The sequence below is a fragment of the Homo sapiens genome, chromosome 13, assembly GCF_000001405.40.
Source record: "Homo sapiens chromosome 13, GRCh38.p14 Primary Assembly".
Classification (NCBI taxonomy): domain Eukaryota; kingdom Metazoa; phylum Chordata; class Mammalia; order Primates; family Hominidae; genus Homo; species Homo sapiens.
In genome coordinates, this window is record NC_000013.11 from 101136012 (window position 1) to 101160594 (window position 24583).

At 39.8% G+C, this 24583-nt stretch overlaps 1 protein-coding gene across 10 annotated transcripts in view; it reads right to left on the bottom strand.

Annotated features, from left to right (window-relative positions):
• Positions 1 to 24583, bottom strand: part of NALCN (sodium leak channel, non-selective) — a 363404-nt gene that overhangs the window by 82236 nt on the left and 256585 nt on the right. For all 10 annotated transcript variants that reach the window (XM_011521069.3, XM_011521067.3, XM_024449336.2 and 7 more), the window contains 2 exons: positions 8749 to 8885; positions 7069 to 7210 (listed from right to left, as the gene is read on the bottom strand). In XM_011521069.3, coding sequence (XP_011519371.1) covers positions 7069 to 7210; positions 8749 to 8885 — 279 coding nt within the window. The remainder of the gene's footprint in view (positions 1 to 7068; positions 7211 to 8748; positions 8886 to 24583) is intronic.

The following is a 24583-nucleotide window of genomic DNA, read 5'->3' on the forward strand; positions in this document are numbered from 1 at the left end:
ACAGCTGATACATAGTTCCAACCTAAAAATGGTTACACAATTAAATATTCTGCAAAAATAATCATTGAGAGGGAATTCCTACTCTAATGTTAGTTGAATATAGAAAGATGTGTTTGTTTACTCAGGGCCCAGCAAACTGTTTGCATATAATGGTCCTCAAAAATGATTGTTGGATGAAAGGGTGAGTGCTCACACACACAGATATTTGGTTTTAGCTTGAGAATTTACTGCAAAGACCAGTAAGAAGAAAAAATGGTTTGATTTTATAGTACGCATCGTTTTATTTATTTATTTATTTATTTATATATTATACTTTAGGTTCTAGGGTGCATGTGCACAACGTGCAGGTTTGTTACATAGGTATGCATGTGCCATGTTTGTGTGCTGCACCCATTAACTCATCATTTACATTAGGTATATCTCCTAATACTATCCCTCCCCCCTCCCCCTGCCCCATGACAGGTCCCAGTGTGTGATGTTCCCCTTCCTGTGTCCAAGTGTTCTCATTGTTCAGTTCCCACCTATGAGTGAGAACATGCAGTATTTGGTTTTTTGTCCTTGTGATAGTTTGCTGAGAATGATGGTTTCCAGCTTCATCCACGTCCCTACAAAGGACATGAACTCATCCTTTTTTATGACTGCATAGTATTCCATGGTGTATATGTGCCACATTTTCTTAATCCAGTCTATCATTGATGGACATTTGGGTTGGTTCCAGGTCTTTGCTATTGTGAACAGTGCTGCAATAAACATACATGTGCATGTGTCTTTATAGCAGCATGATTTATAATCCTTTGGGCATGTACCCAGTAATGGGATGGCTGGGTCAAATGTATTTCTAGTTCTAGATCCTTGAGGAATAGCACGCTGTCTTCCACAATGGTTGAACTAGTTTACGGTCCCACCAACAGTGTAAAAGTGTTCCTATTTCTCCACATCCTCTCCAGCACCTGTTGTTTCCTGACTTTTTAATGATCGCCATTCTAACTGGTGTGAGATGGTATCTCATTGTGGCTTTGATTTGCATTTCTCTGATGGCCAGTGATGATGAAATCTTACGCATCTTTTTATTTCTTTCCATTATTGTGACTAAATTGGGAATCCATTATCTACTAAAGCATTTTTAAGCTAGAGAGAAGTGTACAGAGTTTTCATATTTGACATGAGGAACACCAATTCTTCCCTTTGAGATACAACCCATGGTTACATGGTAGCATCATGTCATCTGTCACTCTTTTCCTGGAGATACATCTTGAATGGTACTGCAGAGAAGCTAAGCCATTATTTAAAAAAAAAATTCTTTCAAAAGACCAAAAGCCCTAAAAATGAAAACAGGCTGTGTTCGTTCGTTCATTTGTTCATTCTCTCTCTCTCTCTCTCTCTTTTAAGGTGAACAAACATTCATTCATCCTGGAAATTATAGATCAGGCTGAGTAACTTGCTATGTGAGGAGTTACAAGAACAAATTATCAAGCACTCTATAATCATATAGAACATTATAAAATGCTGTATGGCAATAAAAAAAACGGAAGAGTAAATCTTACCAGAATGACCTAATTTACTTCTTCAGATTCGAAGACACCGTGTAGACAATAGGGATAGCAACTAAAATATCAACAAAAATCAAACTCTAAAAAAATCAGACTTAGGTACCATAAGGAAATTGATCAGTAATTAATATATTGCACTCAACTAGACTGTTACATCTGAAGGTTAAATTTATGTAAAAGTCTTTTGTCCTAACTGATGAATAGAAATCTGTTTGCTGAGTCTGACTTCATGGTACAGTTTAGTAACAGTAACCTTTCTTGTCTGGTTTGAGAGGCACAGAACATATGCTAGCCCAGGTGCAATGCTAGGTATTTAACATTATTACATTATTTGATTCTCACAACAAACCTTGAAAATGAGAATTATCTCCACTTTACTGATGAGGGTTGGAACCTGCACCACTTAATCACTCTTCTACCCAATTTCTCTCAAACATCGAGCACCTGATGCTTTGCATACCTTTGCATATATGTCCCCCTCTGCCTGGGGTGCTTTCTTCCTTTATCAATCAATCACACTTCTTCTGTAAGGGGAACTTAGGGGGTTCTGTCTCATGGTTCCAGTAATACTTTTTACTTTCATGCATGTATGTGCATTTCCTCCCATTGGACTATGAGCTTCTAAAGGGTACAGTTCGCATCTTGCTCACTGTTGAATTCCCACAGCCCAGAGAATAGCAGATGAATAACGGGTGCTCTATAAGTGCTTGTTGAATGACTGAATGAATGTTAATGAGTTATAAAATAAAATGGGTAAACAAAACATAGTCATTCCAATGATCATTTTCCTCTTTACTGTACATAAGTTAGCTGTTCATTGTGAAGGCTTATTAAAGAACTATCATATGCTTCAGCAGAAAGGAGGCTGACAAGAGGGTGGGCAGATATTGCCCTACTGTCAGAGAAAATATTCACTGTTCATTATTATGTGGGCTCTGATTCTATGCTGGGAAGTACAGGGGCACGAGGTGGAGGTGCTGGGACAGCCCTCATCCTAGCATGGCTCCAGGAGGTTCACTCATGCTTCCCAGGCTATTGCAGGTTCTGACATAAGAAATGGTGCATCAGCCAAGACAGCAGCACAGAACCATCCTCAGGCCACAGGGCAGTGAGACGCTGTAGACTCAACCACAGGTGAGACCTTGACCTTGACTGGATGTCTCACTTCGGAGAACAGAGCGGGCTGCTTTTATTACAGGGTTACTGGAAAGTCAAGTTCAGATCTCACTTTATTAATCACCACTCTGCTTAAGGAAACTAGAGTTTAATTTCAATAATATGGAGGAAAAATACAAGTAGAAATTGTTGCTTGATTTCTTTCTGCTTGGAAACTGGAAAAGCCCCTGTCAAAATCCTTGAATCAGGAAGAAAAGGAACCTCTCACAATTGCTCACAGGAACGGTAGGTAGCAGGATAAAGGGATGGGGAAATGACCACTTGGGAAGGTCGTTTCTATGGAGTCTCAAACGACAGGCAGGAAAACACTCTTTCCTGTCTTTTCCTTTTAGGATCTGGGTCAGCCCCAAGATTTTAAAGATTTTTGTTTGCTGGTTGTTTTCTGGGAGAAGGACAGGTATTTTAAACTGTATAATAAAGGTGATCCACCAGGGCTATTTTTAAAAACATGGTTTCTGCAAAGTGAGGTTGCCATGGGAATTACTCATCCCTGTTCAAAGCTTGGGTAATTACTGGGAGAAAATCTTGCCTAATGTGCTTTTGTGTTTTCTGCAATGCTTCATCAAACCCCAGCCCCCTTCTGGGGTTGCTGTCAGTTGTTGTTTTTTTCTCCCTGAACTTGCAGTCTTCAGGCACCTGGGGCTTCACTATTTTCCCTGGAAAGAGAAAGGTGATTCCCTCTAGCATAGTGAAGTCAGAAGTTTCTCCTGGTACAAGATAACCATTAAGAGAACAGTTTTATTTTATTGTTCCTTTGTTCATGTTATGAGAATCACCGATAAACCAGCCTCTAATGTCCTTTTTCTTTCATACCAGTCACTGAGGAAACACAGCCTCAATTTGCACAATTTGCAGAGGGCTGGGTGGTTTTTTTTTTTCACGTAGAGTGAAGAACCCTGCCTGTCACTTTACTGTGACTAGGATTTCCAAAGGCAATTGGGATTTTAATGGAAATTTCTAAGTGCTCGCTGAAAAATACTTTATAAGGGGAACTAATGGTGGTAGGGTCTGTGACGGGGATTTTTGTTCTGTGTTTATGCGCTCTTGTTTTTAAGTGGCTTTCGGGTTTCTTAATAAAAATGAAAAAGGCTTGCCGTATTCATAATACAAATGCCAGAATGCTGTCTCCGCAATTTGTGCTTCCATTAAATCCTTATCACTGAAATCCTTTGAAGAGGGATTTTCTGCTTTAGATTTCCCTGGCCCAGGGGCACTCAACAAGGTTGACAAATCCTAAGGTCTTATGAGGAACACCAAGAACTGGTGGGAACTATTGCTGAAAATGGTGGATCCTGAAAAGAATTAAGTCTACTTTTCTGACAACCTAGATCGAATCAAAGCTTTAAGAAAGCGTGGATAGTAACAGGAGCAGTTGTCTTGCCACTCCCATAATAGGGTCCTCTGATGAAGAAAAAGTATGTTTTTGACATTCCACTTTCCAAGTGGGAGCAATAAGACATGTTGTATGGGATAAAACGTGTTATTCCAACTGTACCTGGGGAGGGTTCGCTTCGGGCGGGCGCACAGAGGGGCGGGCCACATTCTCTTTAGACTCCTCCTCAGCCCGGCACATGCCTCTCAAGACTCTTTTTATCTTTGTCCTCACCAAATCAAAATACTGTGTTCAGGAAATGTGAGAAACAATCACATTTCCTTTTAGAGAGAAAATAAACTCATATTTCAATTTTGTGTTTCCAGTGGGGTAGTGTTACCAGTGATTTTTAAAAGCATGTCATGGTTTTGTGACTTTGGCCATAATGGAAATCAGCTCTCTATCCTCTTCCTGGAGATAAGTGGTCACAAGGACAGCCCAGACTTCTGGCTTACAATCTGCTTTGGAAACAAAACAAAACAAAACAACCTGCTTTCTAGTCCACGCAAACTGCAATTTCAGACTGACTGGCTGAAGCCAAGGCACTATCTTCCCACTTGTTTATCCACTGACATATGACCTTCTGCTTCCATGCCCCATGCACAGTGTTGAGTGGATTATAACTGTGAAGAAGAGAGGTGATAAGTTTAATTTAAAAAAATCAAAAAAGCCAGGCATGGTGGCCATGCCTATAGTCCCGGCTACTCGGGAGGCTGAGGCAGGAGGATCACTTGAGCTCAGGAGTTCAAGGCTATAGTGCACTATGGCCGTGCCTGTGAATAGCCACTGCACCCCAGCCTGGGCAACACAGCAAGATCTCATCTCTAAAAAAATAAAAATAAAAGATAAAAGTAAAGCCTCTAAGGACAGCTAAGGGTAATATGCAAGCCTTTAAGGATAGTTAAGGGTCATATGTCCATATCATAATTTTTCACGAGAAATTTAGAAGCAAAGGATGACCTCAGTTGAAATCTAATTAGTGTCCTGGAAGACCAAGCACAGAACAAAAATAGAGAGATGGCAATCCCAGGGGAGAGAGAAGCAGATGGAAGAGTAACAATTGAACGCAAAATAAATGGAAATTTCCCTGAGCAAATATCTTAGTTGGCAAGCTGAAAAGACTCTAGTTGGAGCAGTTCTGATGAAAAAAGACATATAAGGTATATTCTAAGAAAGCTTCTGAACTCCAAGGATACACAGAAAATCTTACAAGTTTTCCTGAAGAAACAAGCAAACCAAGTCTACCAACCAAAAGGCTAATTACTTAAAAAAAAAATGACATTGGCATCAGACTTGTCATTTACAATCTTGGATTCTGCAAAGATAGTAGAATAGCATCTCTAGATGGCTGAAGGAAAATCAACACATGGAAATCCTTGAAAAAGAAGAGACATCCTGCAAAGAAAATCATCATCATTTTCAGCAAGAGCAACATGACTGAACTACAGCAGAGAACCTGGGAGCTGGGGGAGAGGTAAACGGGAGTAGTATCACATTAGGGGAGGGGAGGTGAGAAAGAGGAGGAGAAAAGGGGGAGGTGAAAAAGGAGGAAAAAGGGGAGGCAAGAAAGAGGAGAAAAAGGGGAGGCGAGATAAAGAGAAAGGTGAGGGAATTCCAAAGGGTTCATCCCTGTGGGAAGGGAAAGAAAGCGGAGAGAAAGAAGATCCTGGAGGATGAAACAGTTGGCATTTTATTGTCACATGATCATAGAGAAATATGGATTTCACTATAAGCAAAAGAAAAAGGGCAGTAACAATGTAAAGGAATAAAAAACACTCTAGGAATGCCAAAGTGGAATACTTGCAAGTGAACTAGATGTTTTTGCAAACTCTACTGTTTAATCTCTTTAATATTAAAGGACAATTATTAATCTTTCATTTTCTAACTGAACTGACATTGATTATGTGACCAAGCTGATATATATAGTTTGATACTATGCATACATATATACACACATATACATTTATATGTCTATGTGTGTATATATAAATATGTTTACTTATTATACCTAGATAATACATTCTATGTCTTTTTTTTTTTTTTTTTTTTTGAGATGGAGTCTCACTCTGTTGCCCAGGCTGGAGTACAGTGGCACAATCTCAGCTCACTGCAACCTCTGCCTCCTAGGTTCGAGTGATTCTCCTGCCTCAGCCTCCCGAGTAGCTGGGATTACAGGCATCCACCACCACGCCCAGCTGACTTTTGTATTTTTAGTAGAGATGGGGTTACACCATGTTGGCCAAGCTGGTCTCGAACTTCTGACCTCAAGTGATCCACCCGCCTCGGCCTCCCAAAGTGCTGGGATTACAGGGGTGAGCCATGGCACACAGCCCTTATATTATTTTTTTTAAAAGTGAATAAATGAAAAAGTACATTTCTTTAAAATTATTACCTAAATTTGCTTTATTTATATGTGGTTCCCTACTGATACTTTGCTGTGGAATCTGAAAAAAATTTTCCCTTCTACTTTTCAAATGATAAAGAAATAGGTAAACTAGAACATGAATAAGCTCTTGCACCTAAGTTCCTGCCACATACTAAGCATTGAATAAATGGCAATTCTTTCGACCGATTTTAGAGAAACATGCTCTCGTATCCTCTCTGATGTAATAAGTAGACATAAGCAGTTGTACTTGCAGGAGATGGCAGGTCATTACACCTGGACTGAGCCTTGGAGATCCCAGCCCTTTATTCCGCACCTGAGAAAATGCAGATTTGGGAGGCTCTTGATGTTTACAAAGTCGCATGGCTGCCACGTGGCGCAGCTCAAAAGCTTACACGGGCAAATGCAAAATTTCAATGCATAGAGTAAAAAATGTTAGGTTTCATGATATCTTTTACAAATGAAATCATTTTATTTTCATTATTCTCTTGAGAAATTGGATTCCAGGACCCTAAAGAACTCTGCGGTTCTTTTCTCAAACATAGATGCTTTTTAGAAGCCTGGTTATTCGAAACAGCAGATCTTACTTTTTGGTCGATGTATTTGTTGTCCTCAATTGCTGAGCGTTTGGAGTGGTCGCAGGAGGAGGAAGAGGTGGTCGGGAGGCTTCTCAGGAGGCAACATGTGTCCTGTTGCTGGCGGTCAATAAACTGCTTCATAAAACTCTCCCTTTGCAAATGAAGTATATGTGCATCAGGCATTATTAGTGGAAGGGAGCAAGTGACAGCATTTTGCAATGATGAGTTTGCTTGAGCAAAGATAAAGCAGTGATAAAAGATCATAGAAAACTAGATCATGACTAAAATATTTCATTAGCAACAGCTTCCTGAAACTCAGTGACTCCTGCTTAAAAAGCAATATCCTTGAAATAACTTTCAAGCAATATTACTCAGTAACCGATGGTAGTTTTTTGAATCTTTTTTTTTTTTGAGACGGAGTTTCACTCTTGTTGCCCAGGCTGGAGTGCAATGGTGCAATCTCAGCTCACCACAACCTCCGCCTCCCGAGTTTAAGCAATTCTCCTGCCTCAGCCTCCAGAGTAGCTGGGATTACAGGCATGCGCCACCACGCCCAGCTAATTTTGTATTTTTACTAGAGATGGGATTTCTCCATGTTGGTCAGGCTGGTCTCGAACTCCCGACCTCAGGTGATCTGCCCGGTTCGGCCTCCCAAAGTGCTGGGATTACAGGTGTGAGCCACCGCACCCAGCCCAGTTTTTTGAATCTTATTGTGGTAATAAAACACTTTTTTTCCCCCTCTAAGACTTGGAAGAATTAGTTGCTCTCTCTAAATGTCCATTTATCATAAGAATGACTAAGAGAGAATTTTACATTTTAAGACTCAAAAGCAAGTGCGTTCATCTGATCTTCAAAGCATAACGAAAATTCAAGTAACGTCTCTTCAAATTACCAAATTCAATTAATTTTGTTTTTTAAAATTAGAAATGCAAATATATTTCTACCCGAATTTTAAATATTATGGCACCATATATAGTCTCATACTTTTATAACCCCCCACAGAATTATTTTTAAAGCTAGTAACATATTACTGTAATTCTGTTTGTAATTTCTTGAGCTATAACTAGAAGAATTTCCTTTTATTATTAAAAATAGGTGTTTAAAGCATCTTTTATGCATTTGCTTAACTGGAGGGCAAACGTGGTAGAAAATCAAATCAGTATGAGTGGAAAAACGCCACGGTTCTTCTTTTAAAAAGTGGAAGGCAAATTATATATGGTAACCTGACATGGTAGGCTCCATAAACACTGTAGTAGTACACAAACTGGGCCAGCTGTGGTTTCCCTGTTTGCTTGAAAATAAAAGGGCCACAGAGGCAATTTTAGTCTCATACGGTTGGGGTCTGAGATTGATGTCTACCTGCCATCCCTGCAACACTGAGCAGCTTCTCCAGTTTCCTGGGATGTCCCATTCCCGAGGAGTCATCCCAGAGAGAAGCGATGGGAAGCAGCCTTCTTGCTTAGGCTACTGCAGTTATAAAGTGACTCTTCTGTGAATACATTGCTTAAAAGAGTCAAAGTTGTTTATTTATTTATTTATTTTAAATAGAGGTAGAGGTAGTAGAAAGATGACAATAAAATAGAAAGAAACCCAACCCACATATACTTAAAAGAAGGGTTAAATCAGATTTAAGATGATGAATCTTTTACAATATATGTGAAATATGCAATTAAAGAAGTATTTTGGTACCTGATTTTAGGAACTGTAAAATCTGAAGGAAGCTTTGAGATTTTCACCATTTGAGGTCTGTTTGGAAATTTTTCAAAGATTCGCAGGCGTAAAGGGAGCTTTTCTTTGGTGTCCGCATTTGCTTCACTTTGCTTTAACTAAAGAAAAATTGGAAAGAAGAAAAAAAGGGGGAACCTATAATACTATTATATACGTTACACAAAATTAGTTTTAGAATGGAAGCAATAAGTAATTACATGAAATGCCAGTAGATGGCAGCAAAGGCCTACCAAGTATACCTCTCTTGCCCGCCATAAATTGCTCTATGAGCTAAAACTTTTGAGTTAACAGAAAAAACAAAAACAAAACTTAACAACAAAAAAACTAAACCAGAAAAAAATTCAAGGAAAACTTTATGTCATTTTATTCCCAAAGACAAGTCTCTTTTCATCTCAGACATTTTTAATGGTTTACTATTACTTGCATATTTAAACAATAAAATTTGTTTACACATGCCTAACGCTAGAATTAAAAATTTTTAAAAACCATGAAAAATTTAAAAAAAATTAACTACAGAATCATACTAAGTAGTAGCATTTGTAAAGAGAGACAATGGCAGGAAAATTGGTTATGTCGCCTAGCAGATTAAAACAGAAAAGCTCAAAACACAAATACCACATTTGGTCCATGCAGCGAGTTTTCCATTTGGCTGCAAACATGCTTGGACACGACGAACTTAAATGCCATATGATATCTTTGTGAGGAATGACAATCAAATGGATTTATTTAAGAGTGTATATTTATATTTCTACAAATTGAGTTTCAGGGAAGCTCAGGTTTAACATCATAAACTGGAACAAGGCTGAACTAAGATACTACAAAGGTGGACTGTGGCTTCCAGAATTCATGCTATACTTTCCTATGCTCTCTTTTTCTCTCCCAGTGCCGACGTCTCTTGGAGTCCCTCTTTACTTCTGTTTACCTCTCCCCTTCTCCAGGACCTTCTGCAGAGTGGAACACCCTTCCCCACGTCTGCCCTGTCTTCTGTCCCGGCTTCCCAAACTGCATCTTTTAACACTGATGCCTTTCAAAGAGTACATGTAATTCAGGCTGCCTTTTTGGAGGGATTTGGGGGGTGGGTTTCAAAAATCATCCACTCATTTACCTCCTTGTTGGGTATGGTTTTACTCTATAATTTGTTTTAGGAATTATGGAAAGATAAGAATTAGAGGCCAAGAGAGCTTTTAAAACAGGAAGAGAGATGGCAATGCATCCCTCCTATATGTGGAAATACAAATTGGCTAAGGAGAACAGGAGGGCTTCTTTTTGGGGAAACATTCCCATTTCAATATGATGGATGACTCAACTATCCTATTGGTTGTGAGCTCATGATGAGATTATACATCCTGATTTCTGGTTTTCTTATTAGGCTGCAGAAATCGCTCTTATGTTTTTGTTTTGTGTAACATAAACATTTACCTTAGCCATTTGTAAGTCTGATTTGATTTTGTGGGTAGCCTTTGGTTTTTCTGTCTTAGATGGTAATCTTATTTGGAGAAGGAGTCACTGCTGTTCGTTGCCTTCCTCCCTTCCTAACTGGAGTGCTCAACGCAGTAATGTGTGCAAAATGGCACGTTCTCAACAGTTCCATGGTTATGATGATGACAATGGTAAGGAATTAGCTCCCAAAGACACAAAACAAAAAGTAGTAGCATCTCTGTGAGAGGTACACAGTTAGAAAAATGATTCCACACACGAGTAAAGAGATTTACCAGGAAGAGTCTTGTTTTCTAAAAGTTGATACAACTAGTAGAAAAATACTTGTCAGTGGTAAATAGAGCAGAAGTAGAAAAAGCAGTTAATCTATTAGATCAGATCAGAGTGTAAGGCAGGTATATCAGGCCAAAGGTGATAAGACAGAGCAGAAATAAAGTATTGTTAATTCATGCATTTGCTGACTCATTTATTTATACATTGATACTGTCACTTATAAATCAAATCTTACAGGTCAGGTTCTGTGCTAAGCTCAGGGGATATAAAAAGAAATAAGTCACTGCACTCGCCCTCACGGAGCCCACAGTATAACTGGGTAGATAGTTCTATAAAGAGACAATGATAATAAAATAGAATGGCCACTCTGGCAGATATAGGAACAGAGTGCTCGGAAACACAAGGTATAGAGCAAAGAGAGAAATAAGAAAAAAAATGAAGGCACTACTTCTACTCCACGAGACTTCACGGGCAGCAGAATAGACACACGTGGTCAGAAGAGTTGACTTGGGGGCTCTAGATGTATCAGGACTGGTATGCATATTTTATGAGAATTCAATGTCTTCAAACAGACACAAGGGCAAATGGTATATTAATTGGGACATATCATTGAAATGAGAACACAGAGTTCTTTCCTAAAAGCCTCTAGGCCTGCCCACTGCCTGCATCCCCACCAGTGCCTCCCTGGCCAATGCACCACTGGGTTCCTGCATTTCCTGCAGTGCTTTCTCCATCTGCTTCAGCTCTTTCTAATCTGCTCTTCATTCTGCGGTTATTGCCATTTCTCACGCTCTGTCTTAAAACTTTTCAATGGCATTCCACTGCCTTTTTCTTCCTCTCTCTCTCTTTTTTTTTTTTTTTTTTGAGATGGAGTCTTGCTCTGTCTCCCAGGCTGGAGTGCAGTGGTGCGATCTTGGCTCACCGCAACCTCTGCCTTCTGGTTCAAGCCTCAGTTTCCTGAGTCGCTGGAATTATAAGCATGCACCACCACACCTGGCTACCCACTGCTTTTAACAAACAAACAAAAAAACTTTTGTTTTAACAAACAAAAACAAAAATATAAACTTTTCTTTTTTAAAGATATGGGATCTTGCAATGTTGCCCAGGCTGGCCTCAAACTCCTGGGCTCAAGGGATCCTCTTGCCTCAGCCTCCTGAGTAGCCGGGACTACAGGTGCGAGCTGCCATGCCTGGTCAAAATCTCAATCTTCAATCTAGGCTCAGAGGCCTTTTTTTGGCCCCTCCCTGCCTGTCCAGCCTCAGCTAGCTCTATCCCCACACCGGGTTCCAGTCACATCCTTCAGTTGCTTGGAAACATCTGCACCCTCTGCCTCAGAACCTCTGTGCCTCCCCCACCTCTGCCGGCCCTCTGCTGGCCCTCTGCTGGGTTCCCCTTTCTTCCTCTTTTTCTCTTGAACTCCATCAAATTCTACTTGTTTTCTAGATTTCAGTTCCACTAGAAATTCCTCACAGAAGCTTTCTCTGACAAAGTTTTCCTCTTACAAGCTCATAACATGGTAGGATGAATCCTATAATATTGCTGTTTGTGTGGCTCAAAGCAGTTGAACATCTGCAATTTCTTACGGGTCAATTGAATCCACAATACATTAGTTTCCTAGGACTCCTGTCACACATTACCACTAGATCATTAGCTTAACACAATAGAAATTTACTCTCTCAGCATTCTGGAGGCTAGAAGTCAAAAACCAAGGCGCCAGCAGGGCCATGCTCTCTCTGAAGGCTCCAGGCGAGAGTCCTTCCTTGCCTTTCTCTTGTTTCTCATGATTCTCAGCCATGCTCGGAGTTCCCTGGCTTGTAGCTGTAACACCCCATCCCTGCTTCTGTCACCACATGGCCTTCTGGGCCTGCGTGTTTCTGTGTCTCTGAATCTGAATCCCCCTCTCCTTTTCCTTATAGATGCCAAACACTGGACCATCCAGAACAATTAACTTAACTGGTTACCTCTGCAAAGACCCAATTTCCAAAGATGGTCTCATTCTGAGGATCCAGCTGGACAAAAATTTTGGGGGAATGCCTTAAACCCCCTACTCGTACTGTCGTTTGACACTATATTGTGTGACCCCTTGCACAACAGTTCTCTTTTCCCTGAGACTGTAAACTTGGTGAGGACAGGAACCATGCAGGGCTCTGCTCATTATTCCACGGGCAGTGGCTGGCATGGCACTGGACACAAGGTGAGCTGAGCAAATATTCAGTGAAGGAATAATGGTATTGATCAGGTGGCGGAACTCAACTCTAAGCTAAACTCTCCAGCAGACAACTGGGAAATAAAAGAAAAGATTTTAGATATATCCTGAAGGGTAGAGAGATAAGCATAAAATATCTATTGATTGATTGAATAAATTTGTTAGTGTGGAGTATGCGTGTCCTTAGATTCACAGAAGAGAATAAAATTAGACTCCTGTGTCGTTTAACCTGAACTGATGTCTGTCGTTGACAAACTAATGAATGTTTAGACAAAGTACAGATATAAAAATTTTGTAGGCTGGGCGCAGTGGCTCACGCCTGTAATCCCAGTACTTTGGGAGGCCGAGGTGGGCGGATCACGAGGTAAGGAGATCGAGACCATCCTGGCTAACACGGTGAAACCCCGTCTCTGCTAAAAATACAAAAAATTAGCTGGGCGTGGTGGCAGGCGCCTGTAGTCCCAGCTACTAGGGAGGCTGAGGCAGGAGAATGGCGTGAACCCGGGAGGTGGAGCTTACAGTGAGCCAAGATTGTGCCACTGCACTCCAGCCTGGGGGACACAGCGAGACTGTCTCAAAAAAAAAAAAAAAAAATTATAAAGGGACATGTTGGAGAAATGGCAAGTTATATTTTATCGAATATCCTTGAATATATTGTTTAACATATGTAGGATACCAACAGTCACCTTGTTTACACATTTTAAAAATGGGTTTCACCCGCATTCTAATTGGTATTAGAGATATTTACACTCCCCAAAGCTTGTACGCTCCTTAGGAACAAGATACCATTTTAAATTTACTTCTATAGTACATTCTAGGGAGTAGAAATAGAACTCTTTGTAAATAAATGAATTAGAACTCAGCACAACTTGGTCATTGCGCTGTGAAACTACAAAGAACAGACGGGAAGCTCTTTTTGGAGACTCAGAAGGTTCTTCACGATTGTGCAAACCTGGCATCATTGCCCTACAGTTGTGCATTAAGGGCCAGTTAACACAGAGAAGGATGAGCGGCTGCTTGAAGGGTGAGTATTTTGAATCTCATGGCTGAGGCACTGAATCAAACCTCCTAAAAGCAAGGACTTGTTCTTCTGGACAGCAGTTCCCATGCACTCTTTGCTGTTATTAAGAGAGAAGCAGCATCAACTAAAAATGAGCACAGGTAAATCCAGCAGCCCTGTGGATCCTCTCCTAGGTGCGTGCCTGCAAGAACTGCGTGCACACCCACAAGGCACAAGCCCTCCCTTGGCCACAGCAGTGTCAGTTGTTAAAAGTCCCAAAATGTGAACTGTCCAAATGCCCACTAGCAGTTGAGTGGGAAAATACATTTGGGTTTATTTAAATATTTGAATGAGTGAACTACATCTCAGTGTAAGAAATGTGGATTTCACAACATAACATTGAGTGAAGGGAGCCAGACGCAACAACAGAGTACATACTGTTGTATGTACTCCATTCCACGTGGAGGAAGTTAAACCAGCAGGTGGCACTGACGTGTGCTGCCGGGTGTCTGCAGAGTGGTCGTCCTGGGTGGGGGTGGCGGGGAGCGGGAGGGAGTATGGAAAGGAGCTTCTAAGGCACAGTCAATATTTCCTGAGCAGGGTGCTGGGTGTGTTCAGTTTACAAAAATGTATACTATACCTCTTTCTATATGTATATTAGAGTTCAGTTAAAAGTTTTTCAAAAGGGAAGATGATGCAGTTAAGCAAAATTATTCCATTCTTACTTCGGCACTATCAGCCACCAAAACTTTGACGTCTTTCCCAACCCATGATTTTGACCAAGCTACAGACACAGAAAAAGGAAGAAAGAGTAAGATGGGAGTAGACAGGGTGTGTGTTGGTGGTGGGGGATGAGGTGACCATGATACACAAAGTATTACATGTTATTTTGAAGCCACTATTAAGTTTCTTTAAAATGTAATGAAATGGTATTCTACCTTTTATCCAAATTCTTTCCCCTTTTTTGCATTTAAGCAAAGATTTTGCAAGATTAAATTTACTTTGATGCAAATGAATGAATAATATATATTATAAGAAGTGGTTATGAATTTTTAAGATCATTATACTATACCAAGAAAAGAAGATCTTTTAACATAAAGTAATTATAATTGTAAATGTCCATTTAAAAAGTGTTTTTAAGATCATGATTCTTGAAGGAAAAGAACACAGTGTAGAGAATCCTAGGATTTTATTTCTCATATTGAAAAATCTAATGTAAAGAACAGTACAAAGGAAGTTTATAATGGCCTCAGCTGAGCATGAAGTCTGGCTGCAACCGAGAGATCAAATGATAGCTTTGTCACACATTCACATGGTAAAGAAAAGCACATTTGCAAGAATGAAATTAGAATCAAAGAAACAAACTTCAAACCTTGAGCTTTAAAACTAGAAGTCGTCTAAGCTCAGTGCTATTCTACGGCTCAGCATCTGCCTGGCTGAGATATCATTACACATCGGGCGGCTGAAATCCTCTGCTTTCCCTGACTTCTCAAGAGACTTCGGGTGTAATTGCTCTGCACGACACATACTGTGTTCTGCCTCATCGCTTAAATCTTCCCTATTTCAGCCTGTGCTTTCTTCTGTTAAAATATTCAAACATTATTCAGTTTCAGTTCCTTTCTGATTGCTGTGAGGAATAACTGAATTGAAGAATTACATTAAATAAAAATTTTTGTAATTTTTTGGTATGATTTCCCAAAAGAAAACAATTTAAAAAACATTCAGACTTGGGAGATTCTCATTTTGAAATCTAGTCCGTGTTAGTTTGAAAACTGTGCATAGATTTGTGAGTTGATGTAACTGTAGAATATTTTTTGGTTGTTCAATATAGGAAAAATAACCACATTATCTTCAATCAGAAGAAAGGAGTCCCTCCTCTTTGTTATGTGAATAAATTAAGGCTGAAGTCTCTTTGCTTCTTTACACAGTGGCTTTAGCTATTTTTTCTGTATCTATATATATGACATAGCAATTCAGAACATAGAGTCTTGCTAAGGCGTAAACTATTATTTTTCAAGGGAGTTTCTCTTGCTAATTTGTATATGTGATTTTACAACCCAAATCGCACAGTCAAAACAGATGGGGCATCTGGAATAATGATCACACATGTTGGTTTTTAATAATACCTCTGTGTAATTATAAAACCTTAATATGCAAATACAAAGAATATCCCTCACTGGCCTGTGAAATCCAATACAGAATTTCTTCAGGTGGGTGGGCACTGTCTTTTCTGCTGTGGACAAAAGGCAACCAAGTCAAATTAGTGCATAGAAGACAGCGATACTGTACAGTTTTCAAACGTTTCATCAAAAAACATGTTTAAGTCACTAATTTTTCCCCGTTTTACAAAAATATTTAATACACCCAGTATATCCAAGGTCAAAGTGGGGTTTTCAATTATTTGGACGCATCGACTGAAGCCACAGATAGAAATTGGAGGGCTCATTTCTTGGTTAGCCTATGGGCCATAAAAGCTACATTTTTATGTGATAGCTGACATCCAAAATGTTCATAACATTAGCTGATTAACTGCATGTGCTGTATCCTGGCTGGTTACTCATTCGTCCAAGCAGCATGTCCCTTAAGTAAGTATGAAGAGAAGCTCTGTTTTCGGAGGGGCGGATGCACTGGGCAATTAAGTGGCTGTTTTGTGTTTGTTGGTTTGGGAGCTCAGCAGAGCACTTATAACAGACTGTTGCATTCCTGCCACTTATGATATCCCTGAAGTGTGCATAAAATGTTTACTTTCATGCTGTTATCACAACCCTTAAGATCTTACAAGCTTTAAATGTCCTTCAGAAGGTTACTTTGTGCAACAACATAGATAATATTTGCAGCAAGGCTAAGCTAACCAACAACTCTAATGAATTAGTAAAAGAAAAAAAAAACTATTCAAATCCAGAATACCTAATTATGTTGAATGAGCACATTTTGCTCATATTATTGTCCTTTAATATCCCATTAATGTAATTAATAATTTCTTAGAGACAGTGGTGATGAATAAAGATTGATTTTGTAGGTTTATTCTTCTAGGTCCCAAACATCTCTATTTTATATTATATCTGTCCTTTGTTACTCCACTGAGACACAGTTGTTTCCATCAGAGAATTTACTGAGTCATAGAAATATGCTCAGTGTGATAAAAAAAAGTATATATCTTTTTTGCTCCACTTCAGAGGAAATTATATTAGAGTTTCATGTCAACTAGATACTTGGTTCTTATTGTGAGATGATTCTTCGTTAAGTGCTAGGGAAAAATGTCACACCAAAGGGAATTCAGGATACACACACACACACTTACACACACACAAACACGCACATACACTCCCATGTAATTTTTCTCTTTTTTTTAATTTATAAAACATCAGAGATAGCATAAGTAAAAACAGTAAAAAACAAAGTAAGAAGACATGGATTTAAACTTTTGTTCAGTTTTATAATCTCTTCACCCCTTTGGATTTCAGTGTTCTCAAATAAAAAATGAGGATCTTTAGTCTTTCATATAAATGCCAGACGTGTAAGTGAGATAGCAATATGCCTGTAATTTGAATTACTCAAGGGAAATGTGCTATACAAACCAAAGCTATCACCATGCCACAGTGACTGCTTGCTCTACAGGAGGAGGACTTCACCCATATGAATGGGGTGACACATATGTGTGCTTGAGTCCCTTCCCTCTGGCTAATCTGAGACAACTCAACCTCTCCCTCTTTCCCCAATTTCTTCTCGTTTGCTATGTTGATTGGATTGTTTTCTCAAGACTCTTGGTTGTAAAAATGAAAACGAAAATAGGCAGTTAAACCATTTCTCCTGATCATGCCTCCTTTGCTATTTAAGGTTGCTTCTTCAAAGAGATGCTTACAGCACCATTATATCGCTTCCCACCCCTCTTCCAGCCTCTCCTGTCTCAGGTGTCCCCCCCTGCCTCAGTGGGGCTGCTCTTGGCAAAGTCAGCGTATTTCCCATTTTGCTGAATCCAATGGTCAATTGGTCATCCAAATTTCATCTCGTTGAGACTCCTGAAACCTTCCTAACTGGCTTTCTGTCTTAGTTTTTTCCCTTTAAACCAATCTTTTAGAACATCTAGAAAAGAAATACCTTTATGTCCCTCTGGTCCTTAAAGTAATGCAAAGACTATCAATTATGTACAGAAGAAATTCTAATCTTCTTAGCATGGCATAAGCGGGTCTTCCAGTGCTTTGCCCTCTATGCTCTAACCTGTAGGTCTGTGCCCCCCTCACACAGGGATGTCACATGAAGATACTGCTCCCCATGCCTGCAATACACTTATTTAACTCTTATAAATCCTTCCAAAACCATCTTCTCCAGGAATATTTCTCAGAATAACAACTGGTAGGTGAAGCAGTAAACACGCGTGCTGGATATGATGCTGAACACTTTATGCTAATATTATTTAACCCTAAAAATTAGCTCCCTGATGTCGGTACCATAATTAGCTCCATATTATGCAATGTCATCGATGAGGAAACAGGTCCATGGAGCTTCAATTAGCTGCCTGAAGTCACATAGCTAGAAGTGGCAGAACTGGAATTTGACAACAATTTTCCTGATTCCAGAGCTTGAGCTTCTAAAACTGTTGTATACTGCCACACCAAAACAACACTTTCAAGCAATTGGTACACTTTTACTTGTGAATCTTGTGCCTGTTATTCCTCTTATATGGGATATTTTCTCTCGTTTTCCTAAGAAAATTTTATGCATCATTTTTAGACACATCTTCCAGGACCTGCCTCTAAACCAAATTAGGCACATCTTCCTCTGTGCACCTTGCATTTAGTCACATCTCCCTCTGTTGCACCTTGCTCAGGGGTTTGCACTATAACTTTCTAATTACGTGTGCTTTTCCCCTACTAGCATGATGCATTTTTAATTAAGGGCACAACTCTCTGTGGCCCTGTGGCCTCAAATTGTGCACACAATACAATGATAATCCAATGGTGATGAGATGAGAACAAGAAGGCAACACTAACGGAGTCCCATCAACAGGCAGAAGAGGATCATTTGTAATATTTCTCTTCATTCTATTATTGTTTTCTTAGAGCCTTTACAATATGGAATCATCTATATTATCCAGCACAAGCAAGTCTGCCGATTTCAGATGAGTTATATTACTGGCAAAGATGAAAGAGGAGTAATGACAAGTTACATCAGATTTTCTATTAGAAACAAAATCACAAAAAGCATTTGGCTCTTGATAAAGTGTGTGTTCCCAGCTTTTTAAGATCAAAAAAGAATAATAAAGTATAAACTTGATACAACGTATTCATGGCAGAAAGCTACACAGATGTACATATCTTTGAACAAGGCAACACAGGAGCTAATTTCTATGTTGCATTATTACAGCTTACCATAGAAAATTCTCATCCTGTTTACAAAAACACTATTTTGAAGTAATTTAAAACTCACATGAGAGTTGCAAAGATAGTACAGAGAGTTCCTGTATACCTTGACCCAGCATGTTATATACCATAGAACATTTATCAAAACTACAAAATTAACCTTGGTCAAATACTTTTAACTAAAGAAGTTATTGGGAATTCCCAGGTTTTTGCACGAATGACTTTCGTCTGATCCAGGAGCTCATCCTGGAAACCACATTGCATTTCATTGTCACATCTGAAGTTTCTCTTGGCTGTGACAATTCCTCTAATTCTTCTTGTTGTTAATGACTTTGATGGTTTCGAGGAGTATCAGTCAGGTAATTTGCAGAGTGTCCCCCAATTTTGGGTTGTCTGATCTTTTCTCATGATTAGACTGAGCTTATACATTTTTGGGACAAATACCATGGAGATGATACGCCCTTCTCGTCATATCAGTGTGTATATGACATTGAGGTTAACTGTCCTTACTTGGGTAAGGTGATGTCTGCCAGGTTTCTGCATTATAAAGTTACATTCAGTGTTTCTCTTTTCCTACTCCATTGGCTTGAAGCAAGTCACTGACTCCAACTGACACTTAGAAGAATTAAAGCTTTATCTCTTAGGAAGGAGGAGTATCAAAGAATTTGTGGGTGGATGTTAAAGCTGCTACAATAATTAAAAAAAGACTTGGAGAGGACACTTTGAGGCCATGCAAATGTTTTATTTCTCCTTAAAGTTTCACATACTAATTTTGGTATTCATCAGCTCTTGTCTGTGGCAATTACAACAATAGTTTCCTAATGGCAATTTTCTGTTTACTTCATTTATTATTCTATTATTTCTATTTCTCTACATTTCTTACTTGGAATTATTCTGAGAGAATCAGTTGTCCCTCCTCCTTTATTTATTTATTCAATCATGTATCTGTATAAATATGTATTTGTGACTATTTATTGTATTCTTTGGGTTATAACCCAGTACTTTCCTTATTCATTTCATTGCTCAAAGTCTTCCTGCTTTGGCCACTGGGGGCACTTTCAGTCGGCTTCTCTAGTCTTCAGACATACTTCTATCTATTTTGTTTGTTTGTTTGTTTGCTTGTTTGTTTTTTCCTTTTTAGCTCTTCTTTATTTTCTGGCACCACAAAATGTCCTATCCTCATCTTGTGTTCTCTTTAATTCAGCTCTAAAGCCAGCCATTTCTTCAGAGTGCCGACTTGTTTTATTGGAGAATGTTATTTAGGGACCAAAATCCCAGCACTAGGTTTCTCATTGTTTCTAGTATATCCTTACTTCTAGGCTCCCTCAGCAGAAAGAGCGGGGAAATACATGTATGTATACTAACTCATGTACACACACTCTCTCACATTTACCTAGTTTTGTATATATTTACCTACGTATGTATCTTACATAACCCTCCAACCATATGTATGCAGGTATATATATATATATGCATGTAACTACCTACCTATCCTCTCTCTTAAAATAAGCTGAGTTCTTACTGATACTCCTAATCTAGCCCCACAGGTTCTCCTGTGGCATCTCCCCTCTGCTCATTTATAACTTCTTTCTCTGATGGTATGAACTCTGGCTCTCATTTTCTATAGAAAATTCCCTTATTTGTTGCACTTAGTGTGCATGTAACGTTGTATCAGTAATGGTATTTACTATCAAATAAATATGACACTTTAAATTAGAGGCATGGAAAATACGTACTTTGGAATGCAGTCTTAACATTGGGGTCTTGGACCCCAGCAGTGTCCTATTCCCTTAAGTAATTTCTTTTCTGGCCACAATCATGCATTTCCAATTATCATTTTTGTGTATGTCTGTGGTCAAATGAATAGTTTTTAAATGTCTCCTATGTTGATAAAAGGGCTTATTAGATACACTATGAAAATTCACATTAATCCACATATTTTATTAAAAACAAGTGGAAATAGGGATAACATTAAAGAAAATAACATGTATATACTGCACTCATGTCCCAGTAACAATCTAACAAAATTAGTATATTGTTAATACCTGAGTACAAGTTATCAAGGCAGATGGTTCTATGGTTATGTAAGACACATGCATAGATAGGTAAATATATACAAAACTAGCTAAATACATGTATGTGTGTACTTGAGTTAGTACACATACATGTATTTCCCTGCTCTTCTTGCTGAGAGAGCCTAGAAACACTGATATACTGGAAACAATGAGAAACCTAGTGCTAGGTTTTTGGTCCCTAAATACCATTCTCCAATAAAACAAATCAGCACTCTTTGAAGAAATGGCTGGCTTTAGAGCTGAATTACAGAAAACACAAGATGAGGACTGGAAATTTCACGGTGACAGAATGCCAGGAATGTCTCACCTCTCACTGTGCCTGGGGATGCCCTACCTCTCACTGAGTAATGCTCCAAGTGGAATGTAAGGGAAGGCCAACAGTGAAATCAGTCATCCTCAATTATAGGAAAGTTGGATTATAAATGAGGATAAAAGACTGGTTGTTATCCCTAGTTAATTCCCTAACTTTTTGGTCAACTTTGGTTATTAAAAATTTACTTCAGTGCAGTCTAGTCTCATATCTGATTCAAACCTCCCTTCTTCCTCACCCCATTACATGACAGTATGACATATGGTTTTGAGCTAGGGAGGGGACATGGTCTTTTTTTTTTTTTTTTCCTGAGATGGAGTCTTGCTCTGTTGCCCAGAGCTGGAGTGCAATGGCGTGATCTCAGCTCACTACGACCTCTGCCTCCTGGGTTCAAGCAATTCTCCTGCCTCAGCTTCCTGAGTAGCTGGGATTATAGGCAGGCGCCACCACACCCAGCTAATTTTTGTATTTTTAGTAGAGACAGGGTTTCACCACGTTGGCCAGGCTGGTCTCAAACTCTTGACCTTGTGATCCACCCACCTCAGCCTCCCAAAGTGCTGAGATTACAGGGTGAGCAACCAACTGTCTTTTCTTTCATTGCTCCACATCTTCTTCTTTTGGGTGTAGCTCCTCCAAAGTTGGGGTCAGAGTGGAGAGTTAGGAGCAGAAGGTATTATCTTAGGAAACCACTGACCTCCCTTCTAGTTTGGTTTGGATCTACACCCATTCAGCACTTATGTCCTTTGTTGATAGGGTTAACATATAATTTGTGTGATTTCTTTTTTGTATAAGGAGAGTTTTACTCTGGTCTTCCGCAGCCAAAGACGTCCTAAGAGAAAGAGAATCTTGTCTTCCTTAGGTCCTTCCTTTAATCCTCTCCTGAATGAGCATGTCTTGGCTTGGCCTCTGCCTGTGCAGCCCTCTGCCTCCCCAACCTTCCTCTAACATCTGTCATGGGCACCGCTGAGCTCCCCTCTGCACTGTCTGAGGTGGCAGAGAAGGAGAAAGGGGTGGGGTTCCCCCAGCCCAGCATTAATCTTAGAAAATATTCTTCTTGACAGTCCTTTCTTGACAAGCTACTGCTAGCTGTACTCTGGCTGGCCTCTGACTTTCAGAACTGTCTATGTCACGCAAGGGCAGGTTCACTCTACCCCCATCTGCACCATTCTTCAGAAGGAAGATGCCAGCTTCCTTTCACAACCAACTCAGCTTGCTGTAATCTAGTGGCTGAACTGAGTAGAGCTACGGGTTTCCAAGCTTCCAGATAGAAGAGCCAGTCTCTTTCTGTTTGACTGGTACTCCTCACTCCTACAAGTGATTCTCTGGAAGTCCTCTCTTGCGCTTTGGCAAAGGAGGAATAATCTCTCTCCGTAAACACTGCTACTGATGATTCTACCACAACTTTCCTCCCACAGCACTCTCCTTATTTCATCTGGGGGAGTGTGAGCTGGGAAGATAATCAGGAATAAGAGGACCACCAGTCATCTTTGGAAGGTGGAATCTCAATTTAGAAGATAGAGCACTTAGCACTGAGATTTTAGGCACAAATCCAGAGTAAGATGAAATGATCCAGTTAAAAATATGTTGAAGGCATATGAGAATCCAGGTAGTCATATAATTCCCTTTCCTAAACTCCCAGAGTGAAAAAATAATAGGAAAGTGGGAAAGTTTGATGGCATATTAAGTAAATGGCAAGGAATGAATATCATCACTTTCCTGACTTTTATTCTTTCATTTGATCCATGTACAAATACAAAGCAATGCTGTCAATGACAGCATTTATTAATACAACCAAGATTTCTGCTAAGAGAAAATTGTATGTATTGACAAAATCTGACTATTCTCAGAGGAGATTACTTATCTAGGGCCCTGTGACCCCAGCTCTAGTGCCAGAGCTTGCAGCACAGGTCAGGTACATGGTAGACCCAGCTCTTCATCATGGCTTGCAGTCGCCCCCTCCGGGTGGTTACTAACATGTTGCCTATGCTGGGGATTGCGGTTTGTGTAGGTGGCCAGGGGTCGGAGCAGAAATTCGCAGTAATGAACAGAGAACATATTAGAACTACGTATATTAGAAAACCATGCAGCATGAACACCCCAAAATCAGAAGAGACACTGGACATAAACAACAGATCTGTCATAATGAAGTATACAGCTACAGGTGTCCCAGTAATGACAGCTCTCGACTCTTTCCCGGATGAGAATTTTAGATCTAGAAGAGATCTTGTCAGGGTCTAGTGCAGGGGCCCAGATTTAAATGCCTATGAGACCAGGGAGATGATATAAGTGCCAGCTTGGATGACATAAAACAATCATATAAGACAATATATAGGAGTTAGGACTCGTGTCATCAAAGAAAAGAGGGCACACCGGATCTAAAGATACCCAAGTTAGATTTGGTAAAACTGAAAGAGAGGGAAGACATTTCTCCAAAATCACATCTCTTTGTTAGTGAGAGAGAAGGTTTTTTTTGTTTTTTGTTATTTTTTGTTATTTTTATTTTATTTTATTTTGAGACGGAGTCTCATTCTGTCGCCCAGGCTGAAGTGCAGCGGTGCGATCTCGGCTCACTGCAACCTCTGCCTCCTGGGTTCAAGCGATTCTACTGCCTCAGCCTCCTGAGTAGCTGGGACTACAGGTACACACCACCATGCCTGACTAATTTTTTGTATTTTTAGTAGAGACAGGGTTTCACCATGTTAGCCAGGATGGTCTCGATCTCCTGACCTTGTGATCTGCCCGCCTTGGCCTCCCAAAGGAGAGAGAAGTTTTCATTGTTTCCTCCTGTGGACCACTCAGTGGAAGGAAAATGTTTGCAAGGTCCCTTCTAAATTTCCTTCCCTCTTCCTTCTTTTTCGCTTTGTCTGTGTCTCTTGCCTTTTATCTGCGCTTATCATAAAGCAGAGAGGTAAAGTGAGAACAGGAGCCATATGAAGGTGTAACTGACCAAGCGTGGGGAGGAGGGGCAGGCTAGGAAATGGGAACCAATACTCCCTCAGGACCCTACAATGGCACTCACATCTGCTTCCTCCTGAATGAGTGGTTGGGGAGGAGCTGGATTATCTCAGCTCCTCTTTTCTGTTACCTTTGCCTAGACTGTTAAATTACAGTGGCATGCAATAGATAAACATATTA